The sequence below is a fragment of the Homo sapiens genome, chromosome 6 (genome assembly GCF_000001405.40).
Source record: "Homo sapiens chromosome 6, GRCh38.p14 Primary Assembly".
NCBI lineage: Eukaryota > Metazoa > Chordata > Mammalia > Primates > Hominidae > Homo > Homo sapiens.
The window spans coordinates 11,379,415-11,397,365 of record NC_000006.12 but is presented as its reverse complement, the minus strand read 5'-3'; the positions used below and the strand labels follow the sequence as shown (position 1 = coordinate 11,397,365).

Sequence of the window (17,951 nt, the reverse complement as noted above, 5' to 3'; positions counted from 1 at the left end):
TGTGTGTTTTTAGTAGAGATGGGGCTTCACCACGTTGGCTAGACTGGTCTTGATCTCCCGACTTCAGGTGATCCTTCCGCCTCGGCACCCCAAAGTGCTGGGATTACAGGTGTGATCCACGGCTGCTGGTCGGTCTTTCTTACCTCTGAAAATGACAACTCTCCTTCTCTTTACTGGGGCCAAAACCTTTGAGCTCCATCTTGATTTCTTTCTTCCACTCCCCACATCCAGCAGAAGATAGTGTTGGTCTCACCTCCAATTATGACTCAAATTAATCATTTCTCACTACTCTACCACCACCACCCTGATCCAAGCCCCCACTATCTCTCACTTTGATTATTGCAGTGGTCTCTAGGAGCATAAGTCAGATCATATTGCTCCTCTCCTTAAAATCTTCAACAGCTCCTGTCTCACTCACGGTAGAGGCCAAAGCCCTAACATTGCCCTTGCAACCTGATCTGTCTTCCTGATCTTTTCATCCTCTTTCTCCCTTCATTCTAGCCCCATGATGATTCCTTCAAGATGCCAAACACTGTCCCACCCCAGGGCATTTGTGCTTGTTATTGCCCCTGCCCAGCCTCATGGTATAATCCCTCCCTTATTTTAAGTCTCTGCCTAAATGTTGCATTATTAAGGAGGCATTCCCGGGGACCCCATAATGAATAGAAGGGTCTGCTCATGGCCACCCATCCTACCTACCCAGCATTATATTTTTCCAAAGCATTTCCTCCATCTAACATGTGAAATGTTTATTTCATTTATTCATTGTCTGTCTCTTCACTAGAATGTAAGTTTCATGAGGGCAGGGATTGGTGTGATTAGTTTATTGCTCTATCTCCAGCACACAGAACAGCACCAAGCATATAGTAAGCACTCAATAAATATTTGTTGAATAAAAAATGAATTAAAACAATGTGCATTGAATGTCTCCTATGTGTCGTGAACATATAAATAGGAGTTGAAAGTGTAGGAAACAATGGGATCTCACCTCAGGAATTGACAGGTGAGATTGAAACAGAAGGGGAATTGACAGGTGAGATTGAAACACAGTTTGGGGAAGGGAAAAAAAAAAGAGGACCCTGGAAGGGAGCATGAAAAGGAGTTGCTAGAGAGGTAGATAATAAACCAGGAGAAAATTGTAATGGAACACAGGGCAAGAGGGCAAGGTAGAGTTAAGAAGAAAAGGAATTGCTGGCTGGGCACGGTGGCTCACACCTGTAATCCTGGCACTTTGGGAGGCCGAGGTGGGTGGATTACCTGAGGTCAGCAGTTCAAGACAAGCCTGACCAACATGGTGAAACCCTGTCTCTACTAAAAATACAAAAAAATTAGCTAGACATGGTGGTGGGCGCTTGTAATCCTAGCTACTTGGGAGGCTGAGGTAGGAGAATCGCTTCAACCTAGATGGCAGAGGTTGCAGTGAGCCGAGATCACACCATTGCACTCCAGCCTGGGCAACGAGAGCAAAACTCCGTCTCAAAAAAAAAAGAAGAAAAGGAATTGCCAAGATAAGTGATGCTGCAGAAAGGTAAGGTAAGACAAAGAAATGGAAAGCACCCATTGGATCTAGAAAAGCATCTGGAGGACCTTAGTGGCTCCTAGGAACTGTGATAGTATTCCCTCCCCTAGGAAGCCTCTTTACATACCTTTTCCATAGTGCTTAATAATCAGAATGTGAGCAGACTGACCTGTCAGTTACCCAGCAAGTTGGACTGTAAGCTGCCCAAGGGCTTTGGGCAAGGGAATGGTATTTACTGGACAAATCTATGGGCTGGGTGCCTGCCAGGTAATTTGCATATACTAATATATTTGATTCTCACTGCAACCCAGTGAGATAGGTGTAATTTCCCACTTCACAGATGCAGAAATTGAGGTTCCACAAGGCTAAATAACTAATCCAAGATCTAACAACTACTAAGTAGCAATGCTGACCCTAAAACTTTGATCTTCCTGACTCTGTGCTTACTAGGGAGCGGGGTTGGGGGTGGGTAGTGTTTCTTCCCCTCCCTCCCAGGTCATCTGAAAGTCTCTTATTGAGGCAGCCATTGCTGGCTTCTTATCCAATAACTATCCTTTCTCCCTGCTAAGGATCCTGAATTGTGTTTCTGAATGGGGCATCTTTGTGCTTTGGGAAAGACTGAGCCTTTTATTTTTTAATTTTAATTTTAAATTTTACTTTACGTTCCAAGATACATGTGCAGAATGTGCAGGTTTGTTACACAGGTATACATTTGTCATGGTGGTTTGCTGCACCTATCAACCTGTCATCTAGGTTTTAAGCCCCACGTGCATTAGGTATTTGTCCTAATGCTCTCCCTCCCCTTGCCCCCCCACCCACCGAGAGGCCCTGGTGTGTGTTGTTCCCCTCCTTGTGTCCATGTGTTCTCATTGTTCAACTCCCACTTATGAGCGAGAACATGTGGTGTTTGGTTTTCTGTTCCTGTGTTAGTTTGCTGAGAATGATGACTTCCAGCTTCATCCATGTCCCTGCAAAGGACATGAACTCATTCCTTTTTATGGCTGCAGACTGAGCCTTTTCTTAACCCCAGGAGGTAAAATGTGACGGTCCTAAACCATTTAGGACCATTTCATTTGCTTTGTTGTTGACTGGCTTAGGAACAGGCTTGGGATGCAATTCTGCCTCTAAGACTTGTGGATATGTCTGCTGGAGAGTGAGCCTTGGAGGAAGAGTTTTTCTAGGAAAGGAATCATCTCTCAAAAAGAAGCATAGAGATCCGAAGAGCAGTGAGCCTTTCTTTTGGGTTTTTTAATTTATTTTCATTTAGATGTGGTTGGGAATGCACCGCCTAGAGCTATTGCAGACAGTTTGCAATCATGAGGGAACCAAGAACTTCAGACCAAAGCTGATATGAAGACTTCTATGGAACTGTTGAATTAACCAATGCTGGACCCACCCTACCCCCTGGATTCTTGCTTGATGAGGCAGCAAATATCTATTGTTCAACCCAGTGTAAGTTGTATTTTTACATTATTTGGAGCAAAAATATCCAATCTGTGTAGTCTCCCAGACCATGTCTGTTTTTACTCACCAGTTTATTCCAGCTCTGAACAGAGTGCTTATTGCTCAAAAAATATGTTTTGATGGGCAGCAGGAAGACTGTTATTTAAAAAAAGTAAAAATGAATGAATTTGGTTAATTATTATAAAGTGTAGGAGGCTGAGGACACAATCATTTTTAGAGAATCTTCTCTAAAAGTGCAACAGGAAGAGAAAATGTAGCATACCACAAAGACAAGTTCCTCCCAGTGCTCTGCCGGCATAGTGCCACTGAGGGCATTATGTGCTATGACCCCTATGGATCAGATGGCCGTTCACTCCCATGTAATTAATTAAAATTGAAATCAGCTTTTGTCCCCGATTACTGAGGCTCAAACTAAAAACAGCCCAGAATGTATTCTCAGTCAGGAGGTGGCTGTGTTGGAGATTTGTGTTGGCATCTCTGAGCTGTGACCACAGCACACATTTTTGTGGGAAATATCGGATGACACTTTTCCAGCAGCATTCTTCCATTAGGAAGGTTGGTGGGGGTGGTGGCAGGGCTCAATGGATCCAAGAGACCTTTTCTTCTTCTGAAACTCGTTTAGACTCGTTCTTCCCCAGTTAATGAGGCCATTTTGTGCCCCTTTCAGAGCTAATGTAGCTGGAGAAACCAAAGGGTGCGAAATTTAGAAACATCAGAGTCCCCTTCCCAAAGCCTCATTTTGCAAGGCCCTATGTGGTTTGTGGGAGCAACTTGAGGTCCTGGTTACTGATAAAAATTATATAATTTTAGAACTTTTCATAAGCCAATGTGGCCTCCTTGTTAAAGAACAGCAATTAGAGCCTTGAAGTACTGAATGCAATTACCTAAACTGTTTTCCAAATGCCCATATTCAGTCTTGGTTCTCGGGACTGATGTCTTCCTCCCCTTTGGCCCCTTCTCACGCTCATTCATTCAGCTACATCATTCTAGCTGTGGTACCCCGATATGGCTCAGCTTCAGTATATGCAGGGGTGAGCCAGGAAGAAAATTCCAGTCCAGGATTCGGAGAAAAGTCTCTCTGTGCCTACCCTGCCCGTGGTGCTATGCTGAGGGAGGTGACCATGAGTGATTTCGTACGTGCAGATTGTCACGTTTGACCCTATGATCCTGGCTGATGAAACCAGGAAATGGCAGTTGTCTTTGAAGACAGCCATCAGCAAACTGGCTGGCAGCCAGGGAGATAACACAGTGGGAATCTCTACACGATAAGGGTTGCCTAGTGCCCTGCAGTGAACAATGAACTATATCAGATATTTTCTTTTAGGGAACTTGAAAATGACACAGAGAGAAATGCAAGTGGCAATAGGATCCAGAAACCGAGAGACTCATGGAAAGGAGGCAGCCGGTGGAAGCAGGAGACAGCAGAAGCCAAGCCAAACAGCAAAAGAAGGAAATTGAAAGGAGCCAGAAGGGGTCATCTGAGAGATGTCAAGAGTGGCAGCAGAAACAGACAGGCACCTCCTGTGCCAATGCCTGCTTTTGAGAGATCAAGATCATGGTATCTGTAGACTGAGAACAAAGTGTGAGACTCAGAACTAAGTCCATTCAAGCTCTGCATTTCTTTGTTATGTCCCTTTCATCAGTAATTTCCATTAGTTCCTTACATCTCTTTCATCATGAATTTCCACCAGAGAATCTAATTGCATCAGACTCGCTGAAAAAGTTTAACTAATAGATCCAATATTTACCAGCCTGTGATCTTGGGTAAGTCACGTATCCTGCACGAACATGAGTTGTTTCATCTCTATGTGTGATAGGCAAAATAATAGCCCTAAACATGTCCACATCCTAATTCTCAGAATTTGAGACTATGTTACCTTACATGGCAAAAGGGATTTTGCAGATATGATTAAGTTACAACATTGAGATAGGGTCCTATGTTATACATGTGGGCCCAGTCTAATCATATGGGTTCTTAAAATCAGGGAGAGATTTTCCCAGCTGTGGTCAAGGAGAGATGTGATGAGGGAAGAATGGTCAGAGAGATGCTGCACTACTGGCTTTCAAGATAGAGGAAGGGGCCGTGAACCAAGGAATGTGGATGGCCTCTAGAAGCTGGAAAAAGGCAAGGAAGCAGATTCTTCCCAACCTAAAGAGGAGGAACACAGCCTGCCAAACACCCCAGCTTTAGCCCTGTTAAACCTGTGTTAAACTTTTAACCTATAGAACTGTAATATAACAGATTTGTGTTGTTTTAAGCTGTTAAGTTTGCAGTAACTTGTTACAGCAGCAATAGAAAACTAATACATTCTGATGGCTAACACTACATATGCATGGGAAAATGTCTAAAAGAATGTATTCTCCAATGTAACATTGGTTTTGTCATCTTTTCAAATTATTTCTTTTTTCTGGTTTCAATAACGACTGTGTGTTATTTGTGTAATAAAGAAATGATGGAAATGTTAAAGAATAAGTAATATGTACTAAATAAAGTTAGATGACCTCTAAGGCTCCACCTAACTGTGGCATTATCTGAGCAATCCAGCTGGTGGCTTAATTGCCAATCCATATCCTGTTTCTTCTTGGATGCCATAGACAGGTCTTAACTCCTCCACAAAGGAACCAGAAAGAGCAATTTCAAATCACTCCTGGTGTCTTTATTTTCCATATCTCAGATACAAATATGTATTCACCCGTATATGATATCAGTGTGTTTCTACATTTTTATGTGTCCTTTTATTTATTTTTTTTACAAATTATAATCAGATATAATTATAGGGTGCACAGTGATGTTATGGTGTATGTATACAACGAGGAATGTTGGAATCAAGCTAATTAACATATCCATCCCCTTAAATACTTATCATTTATTCCTCTTGTCTAACTTTCTACCCCTTTACCACCACCTCCCCATTCCCTGACCTCCAGCCTCTGGTATTTTTACATTATTTGGAGCAAAAATCATTTTACCATCATTTTGCTCTCTATTAGTTAAATTATTCTAGATTCCACATATGAGTGAGAGCAGGCAGTATTTGTCTTTCTGTGCCTGGCTTATTTCACTTAGCATAATGTCTTCCATATCCATCCCTGTTGTTGCAAATTATAGGATTTCTTTCTTTTTAAGGCTAAATTGTATTCCATTGTGTGTATATACCACATTTTCTTTATCCATTCGTTCACTGATGGACACAGGAAAATTTCCTATTTTAGCTATTATAAACAGTGCTGCAGTAAACATGGGAGTACAGATATCTCTTCAACATAATTTCAAGTCCTTAGGATATATATATCCCGAAGTGGAACTGCGGCATCTATATGGAATTTTTAAAAGATTTCATTGGCCGGGCGTGATGGCTCAAGCCTGTAGTCCCAGCACTTTGGGAAGCCAAGCCGGGTGGATCACGAGGTCAGGAGTTCAAGACCATCCTGGCTAATATGGTGAAACCCCATCTCTACTAAAAAATACAAAAAAATTAGCCGGGCATGGTGGCTTGCACCTGTAATCCCAGCTACTCGGGAGTCTGAGGCAGGAGAATCACTTGAACTGGGAGGCGGAGGTTGCAGTGAGCAGAGATCATGCCACTGCACTCCAGCCTGGCAACAGAGCAAGATTCTGCAAGATTCTGTCTCAAAAAAAAAAAAAAGAAAGAAAAAAAAAAAAAGAAAAGATTTCATTGGTTGGTAAGTAATGATACATAATACATACATATTTGGTAAATAACAAATACAACAAATATGTGTTGTCGTGTAGTCTTGAGGTCATTCAGATGATGTATGTTTTGTAAAGTCTTCGTGGGTTCTGGTATGGTGCATTATGACAGATCTCAAAATTGTGTTGCTAGAGCTCAAGATTAAAAAGGACATTTTAGAGAGTTTGTGGCCAAAACAAGGCTTGCCTATCATTACAGTCTCCCAGCAGTCTCATCTAAAGTCTAAAAAAGCTCATTCACAATCCACTCAGTGTCAACAGGTGAGGGCTACTAGCTGATACTAGAGTTATCAATACCGATGATAGGCACAGCAAATGGAACCGTGCAGCTCATTAGAAGATACTTACGAACCACTTAAACTTAAGAACTTGGCTTTAGTGAGTTAAAAATGCAGAGTATGCCCTGCAAAACCAGTTTCCACTTGAGCAAGAATTTGTTAGTTCTTATCACAGCCAACCATCTTCCGGAATTTGAATGGCCCTAAACCTAATTTGGCGTTTTGGACAGGACAATAGGTACTTGCGTGACATGGTTGGGGAATAACGCACAGCTGTTTCCCATTTAGGTCACTTTGATCTATGACTGAGCCAAATACCTGGGCCTGTCCCCAGCCAAACTACACCCCAGAGGAATGAAGGAAATAGAGCAGAATTTTAGGAGCAGGGATCTCAGTACTTTTTTAATCAAGTTTTTATTCATCAAATATTTGTTGGATGCTGTAGAAGTGTTCTCAAACATTCATGTCCGTAAGATTTGCCTAGGACAGTCCCACGACCAAGACAAACAGAATTTGCAGTTGAGTCACAGAGCCTGGGAATCTACATTTAACCAGCCTCATAGGTGATTCTGATAAGAGACCTCCATGGACTACTTTGTAAAATGTTTAGTTTGGTCTCCAGAATGAATAAACAACAGTTCCCTGCCCTCTGGAGCCTCAAAGTCCAGGGAATGGAGATACACTATTGTGACATTATGTGATTAATAGAGGGCCTGGTGACAGTGAAGGAGGAAAGGAAGACTCTGTCCAGGGGATACCAAGGGGTTGCCAGAAAGACAAGGAGAAAGGGCATTCTAGGCAGGGGAACAGCCTTTACATGCCATAACCATGAGAAATTATGGAATAGGAGGGGACCGAGAGCAGCCTCAATGTTTAATAAATTAGCAGACTCAGGTATTTCTTTATAGCAACACAAATGGACTGAGACAAATGGAAGTATGGGACGAGAAGGCTGGCCCCTGGTTTAAATGGGATGAACTTATCCAGAGAAAGCAGGAGCATGAACATGTGTGGGGCCCAAGGGTGAATCACAGTTTGATGTGATGGGAAGGTGAAGGGCACTGCAGAGGTGGACAAGGCAGGAGAGAATGTAAAGAGAAGAGTGGACTGCCATTCACCAGCACAGTCATTTCAATTCTATTTTGTAGGCAACAGGAAGTTGGCAAAAGTCTTTAAGCAGAAAGTGAACATGAGAAGATATGAAGTTTGTCTATGGAAGTATCTAATATTTTGAAGATGTTCATTCAATTAATATCTCCTGAGGACCTGGTGTATTGGCCCATTCAGGCTGCTATACCAAATAACTAGGACTGAGTAACTTACAAACAACAGAAAGTGATTGCTCCCAGTAGTGGAGGCTGGAAGTCTAAGATCAAGGCGCCAGCAGATTCAGTGTCTGCTGAGGTCCCTCTTCCTCATAGATAGTGCCTTCCAGCTGGGTCTGCATGTGGTGAGAGGAGCAAAAGACTCCTTCAGGCCTCTTTTATAAGGGGACTAATTCCATTCATCAGGACACTGTCCTCATCTCCTAATCACCTCTCAAATGCCCCACTTCCTAATAATAACACCTTAAGAATTAGGTTCCAACATATGAATTTTGGGGGGGACACAAAAATCTGAACCATAGCACCTACCGTGTTCCTAACAGTGTTCTATAGAGGCTAGAAGAGGACCTCACAGCTAGGAATTGTTGTAACAGTCTGAGCAATTAACGTCTAAACTAAGAAAGTGGCAAGGGACACACAGAGAGGGAACTGAATGCGTCAACAAGATTGGATTTGAGATTTAATTTAAAAAGACAACAACACAGAATATGGTGACTGGTTGGATTGAAGATGCAGTGGGGAAAAGATCTGCAGTGTTTTGGGGCAGAGGGACTGAGAATACGGTAATGACATGGGTAATGACTGGGAGAACAGACAGGCAAAAGACAATAGTTTGGATGTTTGTCCCTCCAAATCTCATGCTGAAATTTAACCCCCAATGTTGAAAGTGGGGCTGGATTGAAGGTGTTTGGGTCATGGGTGCAGACCCTTCATTAGTGCAGATTAGATTAGTGTCTTCCCTTGACAGGGTGGTGAGTGGGTTTTTAATCTATTAGTTCCCACAAGAGCTGGTTGTTAAAAAGAGCCTGGCACTTCCGCCCTTTCTTGCTTCCTCTCTCATCACCTGATCTCTGCACATGCAAGCTTCCCTTCCTCTTCCAACATGACTGGAAGCTCCCTGAGGCCCTCCTGTCCCTCCCCCAAGCAATGGCACCATGCGACTTGTACAGCCCAGCAGAACAATGAGCCAAATAAAGCTCTTTTCTTTATAAATGACCAGCCTCAAGTATTCCTTTATTGCAATGCAAATGAACTAGGACAAATGGAAGTGTGGGAAGAGAAGGTCCCTCTTTTAAATGGGATGAACCTACCCATACAGAAAGCAGAAGAGTGAAAATGTGTGATGCCCAAGGGTGAATCACCGTAGCAGTAAGTGGTGGAGTGTACTGAACCAGAAAGAGGGGAACCAAGGCAAGAGGTGTCCTCCAAAGAAGTAGAGAGGGGTCTGAGAGGAAAGAATTGCTCAACCACTTCCAATGCAGCAGAGAAAAAGACTTTGTAGTGTCTACCGGTTTATCATCCAGGTTCCTGAGGGTGACCTTAGCAAAGATGATTTCAGCGGAGAGCTGGAGGCATGGACCAGATGTCAGGATGGAAGGAATGCAGTGAGGAAGGAAGGAATGGAAAGTGTGGAAGTGGAGGTATGAAGTGTAGACAAATTTCTTAGGAAAACTGAGTATGAAAGAAAGAAGAGAGGCCGGGCGCGGTGGCTCACGCCTGTAATCCCAGCACTTTGGGAGGCCAAGGTGGGCGGATCACCTGAGGTCGGGAGTTCGAGACCAGCCTGACCAACATGGAGAAACCCCGTCTCTACTAAAAAATACAAAAAATTAGCCGGGCATGGTGGCGCATGCCTGTAATCCCAGCTTCTTGGGAGGCTGAGGCAGGAGAATCACTTGAACCCGGGAGGCGGAGGTTGCGGTGAGCCGAGATCGCGCCATTGCACTCCAGCCTGGGCGACAAGAACAAAACTCTGTCTCAAAAAAAAAGAAAGAAAGAAAGAAGAGAAAGAGGCAAAGAAGAAGATGGAACCAAGGAACTGAGTTAGGACTGCCAGGAAAATATGGACATAGGTGTTTGTTTATAAGAAAAGTTGTGGTGAAAATAGAGGAAGGGTAAGTTGGATTTCCAGTTTAAATTTCTATTGTCTTAGAGAAAAAATCATTGTATAAAAACTAAAGGGAACAAACAGGGAGTGCTGCAGTTTTAACTACTAGGGATCAGTAAAAAATATTTCTCAATTTAGAAAGTAGTTAACCCACAGTATGGCACTGTGAAATGGAGGCTGCTATGAGAGTCAGGATAAGGGAAACGCCCAAGGAAGGAGAGAGGTAAACAGTCAGTCATTGTAGAGAAAAAAGTGGATGTAAATAATCCCAGCACTTGGCATCCCTCCCCGTGTCTGGGGTCATTGTCAGGGGCAGCTTATGTATATATCAGGGGAGGGTTGTGATTTGACTTTTTAGCTAGGTGATTGTGAAGGCAAAAAGGAACAATCCCAAAAATCACTTTATCAAATGGCAAATAGATCTTTAGTATTTGATCCAGGAATCTCTACCCAGAGGTAAATCAGCTGGATGTGAATCCACATTTCTATGTATTTAGAAAACAAATGGACAAGATTCAGATAAACTGAGGAGCCTCACCTGTTCAACCATCTAAAGCAGCAATGCAGTTTTGTTTTTTACATTCTCGTGAATAAGATGTTGTTTCCAAGTTGCTGTTTCATGTGAAACCAGAACGGCAGTTTATACAGTTCCCTCAGAAACCGAGGATAGTACAGTATGATGGTTTCAGTATCAGGTTCTGTTTGTGTGCACATGCATGCTCAAGGGCAAGGGTAGTACACATGTGCACAACTGCAAATTGGCAGTGGTGACATATATTTATATGAATGCCTGAAAATGTCTTAGTAGAATGTACCTCAAACCGATAGCAAAGGTTCTCTGTGGGCAAAGCAAGAGAGAAAATTAAAACTAGGGCTGATGGGCAAAGACACTTTGGAGAACCTCATCTGCAATGTTAGTTCTTTACAAGATAAATTTATTACTTGTAGATTTTAAAATTTTATTTTAAAGTTATAGAGAAATTAGCACTAATTAAGTTTTACCAAGTATTTTTTGAGAAGTCAAAGATGGTTATTATGTAGTGGAAGGGTAGGCAAACAGGGTGTAAACCATGGAGAAATACGTGTTTGCAAGATGCCTAAATGCAATGAATGCTTCCAATAAGTCAGAATCTTTACAATTTGGCATCACTTCTGTCTTTAAAAGTGTTCAGTCTTTCTTCCTTTTGCTCTTCCAGGTGCCCGTGTTTTCTCAAACAGCTGTTCTATGACTAGAAGAATGGTTTCATCTTTGCCAATGTTGTTTGCCTCCTGCTAATATAAATTTAAAATGATAGCTCTTACTATCATTATTAATTGGGTGGTGATGCTTGAAGCTGTAATTCAAAGGACTGAAGAATGGACAGAGAATGGGGAACAGTATGGAAGAAATGGTGAAACTGCAGGGATCTTGAGGCATCCTGAAAGAGTTCCCATCATGAGACCTTACCCCAGGCATAACAGGAGGCAACAGCTAGGCTTAGAGCTTTTAGAACATGAGAAAGGTCTAGAAGGGATACCACAGGGGACCTGACAGACAGCAGGAGATGAGAAGGAAAATTCTTGAGCAGCAGAAGGGCCTCAGTTAAGATTATTGGGGAGAATTTGCAAGGAAACAAGTTGCCTTATTAACTTTCCCCAGTAAGTCTGGATAGCTCTGGTGCATGACATGGGTGGAAAATGGAAGAACAAGAGCAAGGAAATCTACATTATACACATTGCTGAAATAGGTCATGGAGTTCTGGCAATGTAGGAGGGCTAGAGAGCCCAGGACTTGGCTGAGGGACTGGGAGAATAGACAGGCAAAAGACAAAGGTGTCCTGTTAGGGGAGAGAGAAAAGGAGGTTTATAAGGGCAAGAGAGCAGAAGAGGAAGGTGAATAAGGCTCATTCTTCCATGCCTTCCAGACTATCATCTCTCTTAGGGGAGAAACTGATTCTCATTTCTTTTTTATTTATTTTAGCCCATGTTAAATAATGCTTTTAAGATCATGAATTAACTAATGAACAGAAACAGCTATCTTGCTGGCTTATCTCCCACTGAGCTACAGGTTTCTGGAGGGTGTCCTGTGGAGCGAGGTATCGAGAATGCCCAGGAAAGCTCAGGAGACTTCGCAGGTATGCGATAGTTAATGAATGGGAAAAAATGAACGGGATCTTTTTGAGCTCTGATTTCCTCATCTAAAAATGAAAACCACAAGACAAACTCCCATTCCCAAGAAGGGAGGAGGCATCCATTATAATTCTAGACAACTTTGTTCTTAAAATTTGCCAGACCAGCCCTTGAGCATTTTCATTTAAATTCCTCAGTGGGCAGTTGATTCCCCATGGCTCATACTGTCTTCCATCGTGGAGGGGAATGAGTCAAGCAAATGGAATCATAAATAGACACATGTGCATGCGTGCACACATGCACACACACATGTGCACACACTTTGGCCATAGATTTCTCAACCTTTGAGTCTTCTCAAATTCTCCTTACTTTTCCTTCCCCCATCCTCATCCTCCACTCCATACAACAGCTGCTCCTTGGACCAGACCTCCATAACAAATTCAAAACAGTTGCCTGGGGTTTGGCTACTGCTTCACAGGTAGTTATAAAGCATTTTGTGGTGCAAGCTAAGATTCCAGCTAACTGAGATGGCATGAAGGAGCTAATTAAAGCAGTCAAGAAGCTGGTTTAAATGAAGATGAAAATGTAAGCCCTGTCCTCAATGGATAGAGTGATTAGAAATTAAAGTTGTTTGTTTTTTGTCAGAATCATCTGTGGTTTGCCAAAATGTTGACATGCAGCATAACCTGCTACTAATCAAAAAGAAAATAAACCAAAGAAGAAGAAGAAAATCTAACACTGTAAGTAGGAAAACAGACATAGAAAACCGGCATCTTTGCAAATGGGAAAAATATTTAACTTGTTTTTCTAAAATAAGTCTGATCTGTTTTTGGACAAAGTCTCAGTTCCTGAGTTTGCCTTGAAGGACATGCTCGCTCGCTCTCTGTTCTGAAAAACTCAGCAGTGGGAGGTCCAGGCAGCTGGAAGTGGGAAATGAAGCCATAGGATGAAGATGAAAAAACAGAGTTCAGGATAATAAGGTTGTCAGTCTCAAGTATTTTATGTAAAAGGAGCCCAAGCTTAGCATTTTTAATATCTCTAGAGTGTAACTGACTTATGCAGACAATTTGATGGCATTAATATTCAAGTCATACTACAAAATTATTAATTATGTTTTCTAAAGTTTGTACATTTAAAGTTATACTAATTAAATGCCTGATGAAGAAAATAATTCCTTACCTGATACGGTATAAGGGGAAAAGCATAAAAGGACGTTTTGATAAAACATGTACTATCCAGACTTCTCTACCTCCATCAATTTATTATAAACACTCTGTATTATAAAATAAAAACTTCAGAGTAGAATAATTCTAGCTCAAATCTGGAATGATGTGGATACATAGCATGTACTCAAGAATGGTTTTGTAAGGAGAAAGAAAGAGAGGAAAGAAGAATAAAAGCATACCTTGCTGAATATTGTTAATTGCACTTAACAGGTACAATATATGTATACAATATATACAATATATGATGATTAATATCGATGTTCTTGTCATTGATTTCTTCATAAGACCCAGTGTACATGGCACTGAGCTGAGTGTTTATTGCTTTAAGTGTGGCACCTTTGTATGAGCAGAATATTCTTTAGCAAGATTTGAACCAGCTCAAACATTTAAAAATAAATGAATTTCAGAGAAGTCTTACAGAAAATTAAAACAAAACAAAACAAAACAAACAACAACAACAACAACAAAAGAGATGCCACAAGAGTGCAACATACATGAGCTGAGTCTGATGGGTGGGACCAAGGGCAGCCCTTTCTTTGTCTTCATGATGGAGCAGGAAGGAGTTGAAGCAGAAACATCAAGCACCACAGGATCATTTGGGGAACATCCATTATCAAACCACCTCTCTCTCTTTCCTCTCAACCCTCTATGTCCCCAAGTCGTTTGCTAGGCATGAGCAAGGAGTGGAAAATGAGGAAGGGTAGGAAAATAGCAAAGATCTCAGCTGATAATAATACAAAGTTGCCACGAATGATCACGGCAAACACTTATATTGCGCTTACTCTATTTGTGCCAGGCATTCTTGGAGTGCTTTACATGTACTAATTCACTTAATTCTCACAACAATCCTGTGACTGTTCCCATTTTACAGATGAGGAGGCCGTGGCACAGAAAGGCCAGAAGTGTTTAAAGAGCAGAGCCATAATTCAAACCCAGGAGGCTTGTCTCAGAGCCACTTGTCTGCTACTTGAAAGCACAGAATGAAGAAGACAAAGGGTTTGGGCTTTCGAATTCCCTTCTACATACACAGATCTAGGCTTCCATACCACATTGTAAGTAGGAAACTCTCTGAGCACCTAGCCTCTAGCATGGTGTCTATTCCAGTGTACAAGCTCAATAAGTACTTGTCATAGGAAAGAATGTTTCATGTCAATTAATAGTGGAACCCTTTGCAACATACTGAGTCCATAAAACCATAAAATCCCAATTCAGTTGGCTTGGAAATAGCCTAACTTTTGCTTCAGTGCGGCCTAGGAGGGAGCTTATGCCACTTAGAAGAATACATTTTGACAAATTTCCTTGCAATACGAATTTAAAGATCACCTACCTTTCTAAAAATAGCAAAGAGGCCAGATGAGAACAAGCTTTCTTACCTGTCCCTAAACTACAAAGTGTCCTCAGCGAATCAGAAAGTATGACAGAGAAAAAAAAGAAGAAGCACAGAGAGGAAATGAACCAAGACAACATCACCTCACAGCAACCGGAAGGAAAAACACACACATACATATGCCACTCACATCCGACGTGTGTGGTTGCTCAGTAGGGAAATGCTTACAGCTGCCTCTAGAAGCAAGTCCGCTCGCTGCATGGAGAGGGAAACATGAGCATGCAGCAGGACTAGCTGTCACCTCCCGCCCGCCTGCCCAGAGAGGGCCAGAGCGTCGGGGAGGCAAGATGATCCACCAGCGGTTCCATCCTACACTTGGGTGAGTTCTCAGCCACTTGCTGTGGCCTGTGGGAGAGGAGGGACTCATTCAGGCTCCTACTTCCTGAGTTGGTGCCAGACATCTGGTGGTGTTTCCCCACTGTGAACACTCCTCAACTGGGGCAGGGAGGACCTCCACATGCCCCAGAAGAGGAATGAGTGACTCCCGGTCTCCAAGTTGACCTGGAGGTGCTGGTTTTAGTGCAACATTCAAACCAGCATGATTTCTACTTATGAAATTGTTCTGGGTAGATGCTTCCTGGTGTGTAAGTACATGGCCCCTCCCCTCTTCCTACTGTCGTCAGAGAGCTTACCTGACAGCAACTAAGCTTTTATTTTTCCTGAATTATTTCAGTACTTCAAAGTGTGGGCCGTCACTTATTCTTTATGGTGGATTAGAATCATTTACGTCCTTTTCAGCCTCTTTGGACATGAGTCCTGACTGGCGAGAAATGGTGACTGAGGATTGGATTCTGTGCGTGTCCTATCCCTGTAGTCATTAGGATCATCTCCAAGGGGCTGAGGACAAGTGACAGCACACTGTGTTCTCCCTGTCCATAGTGAGCCGCCCAAGAGCTCCACCCTTACTTTTCTCTATGTTTATTCTTTCACTTAGCCCATTCATTCATTTCTTCCTTCATTCATTCATTCAATTGCCTTTCTTCCACCAAGGACTTGAGGCAAATTTTTTATCTTGCTGAAATTTTTTCAAAATGAAGACCATCTGTAATCATAAAGGGGACAATCGTTCTGAAAGGGTTATACATAATTCTAAGCTATGCAGAGATCGGCCACCAATCTTTTCCCTTTGCTTGTGTTGAGAAGTGAGAGTAGGCGCTCTAGTCATTTAAACTCCTGCATGGGGAGTCCCTCCTTCCCCTGCCCAGAAGCTGGTTTCCCACCCAGCATGGGGTGTGAAGAGCAATTGTCCATGACAGAATACTGGGAATCTGCCAAATAGTTTTCTTCTTTGTTTCTGTTTTCTTCCAAGCTTGGTTACTTTCGAGGACATTCCTGGTTCTAAGAATGCGGAAAGTGGAGTTGGTGGAAAAGAAAGGATGTGAAATCAGTGTTTAGCTAGCGCTCCACCATTTCTTGTTAATCGGTTAGTTTATTTAACAGCTATTTAGTGGCTGTCACTTTGTACGTCACCACTTAAACAAGATAGCTGGGCACGGTGGTGTATGCCTATAGTCCCGGCTATGCAGGAGGCTAAGGCGGGAGGATTGCTGGAGCCCAGGAGGTCGAGGCTGCAGTGAGCTATGATTGCACCACTGCACTGCAGCTTGGGTGACAGAGTGAGATCCTGTCTCAAGAAGAAGAAGAAGAAGAAGAAGAAGACGATGACTAGGAAGATATAAAAGCAGAGGTGTAGGAGAGGACAGGCTGTAAGGGTCACATGATGTAATTCCCGGTGCCTCTTCCTCTACACGTAAATAAGGGGAAAGAGCTATCTTGAATGGCTGTGGTAAGGATTAGATTGAATAGCAAACATTTAAGCATCTGGCAGAGAAGGGGTATCCGAAGTAGTCAGTGTCCTGCCTCCCTCCTCCAGGCCTCACTGTGACTGAGCTGGCTGCTGACAACCTGAGTCTTTATCTCATGACCTGAGAGCTTTCTCCAAGCCACACAGGGACAACTGTAATTGCCCAAAGGGCAGACGAAAATTCCCAGAAATGAACTCCTCAAAGGCTGTAAATATTCCAGCTCCCTCAGTCTTGAGTGGAATAATCTACACGGAATCAAGCTCCAGTTGCCCACAGTGGCGGGGCCCTTCATGGCTTCTCTCCTTCCCTGGATACTCCTTCACTCCCCATCAATGCTTCCTGGGATCATTTCTTAAACTACATGTCCTCGAACTCTGCATTGGGGTCTACTTCTGGGGGAACCCAAGCTAAGACCACCGGCCACCTACTACTGTAGGTACTTAAAGAGTTTAGTCGTCTGTTTTCCAATGATCAGCTCCATCTCCATTTGACCTTAGACTCTGAGTTTTGATTTCCCACATATCCATTCAAGGGTTGTAGTGGGGGAAGATCCTCCTCCTCCTCTTCTGGATTTGGCTTGGAGAAAGGGCACAGGCACAGCATGGAGAGCACCTTAGGCTTGACATGTCTCCATGCAAACCCGCACAGCACGAAGATGCGTCCTACTGCAAATGACCTTCACTTTGTCCTGCTTATCTGTCACCTTCACAACTCATTTGATGAAAATTTCTGAAGTGTGGAACACAAATAGGAGAATTTTATATAGCACAAGATACATAGATAGAGCATGAAATCACATTGAACCTGATCTTAAAGCTACTCTAACTCTTGGCTCCTTACTGTTTTAACAAGAGAAAGTCGATCTGAGGCTAGGAGCCATCAACAGGCACTGGTAGCTAGCTACAAATTAATAGCATGGCTTTATTTTCCTGTATTTGCTTTTTATGGTTACCTTATATTAAACCACAACGGCCTGTTTTTTTTTTAATTTGTAGGAATGGTATAAACATTTCTTTTAAAATATAAATCTTTAAGTTTTAAAAAAGTGAATTTATTATTACTATTATTATTTTTGAGACAAAGTCTCACTCTGTCACCCAGGCTAGAGTGCAGTGTGGCTCACTGCAACTTCTGCCTCCCAGGTTCAAGTGATTCTCTTGCCTCAGCCTCCCAAGTAGCTGGGATTGCAGGTGCCCACCATCACACCTGGCTAATTTTTGTGTTTTTAGTAGAGATGG

At 42.5% G+C, this 17,951-nt stretch overlaps 1 protein-coding gene and 1 long non-coding RNA gene across 3 annotated transcripts in view, besides 2 other annotated features; both read left to right on the top strand.

The window, feature by feature from the left end:
- Positions 2,241-2,453: a silencer, noted in NCBI's record as "fragment chr6:11395146-11395358 (GRCh37/hg19 assembly coordinates)". NCBI's record gives its function as "represses an EF-1alpha promoter that drives an FKBP-Casp9 reporter gene in an ReSE screen in K562 erythroleukemia cells {active_cell/tissue: K562}" and the evidence as "EXISTENCE:reporter gene assay evidence [ECO:0000049][PMID:32094911]".
- Positions 2,504-5,491, top strand: LOC105374927 (uncharacterized). The gene is made up of 2 exons (XR_926477.3): positions 2,504-2,971; positions 4,308-5,491. It is a non-coding gene; the product is annotated as an uncharacterized LOC105374927 (long non-coding RNA).
- A 9,526-nt stretch (positions 5,492-15,017) lies between these two features.
- Positions 15,018-17,951, top strand: part of NEDD9 (neural precursor cell expressed, developmentally down-regulated 9) — a 199,051-nt gene continuing 196,117 nt past the window's right edge. Inside the window, exon 1 of one of the 2 annotated variants that reach the window (NR_073131.1) lies at positions 15,018-15,227. The gene's annotated coding sequence lies outside the window, so the exon portion shown is untranslated. The remainder of the gene's footprint in view (positions 15,228-17,951) is intronic. The other variant, NM_001142393.2, reaches the window with a different exon arrangement.
- Positions 15,147-15,346: an enhancer, noted in NCBI's record as "active region_23985". NCBI's record gives its function as "activates an Ori minimal core promoter by ATAC-STARR-seq in GM12878 lymphoblastoid cells {active_cell/tissue: GM12878}" and the evidence as "EXISTENCE:reporter gene assay evidence [ECO:0000049][PMID:35858748]".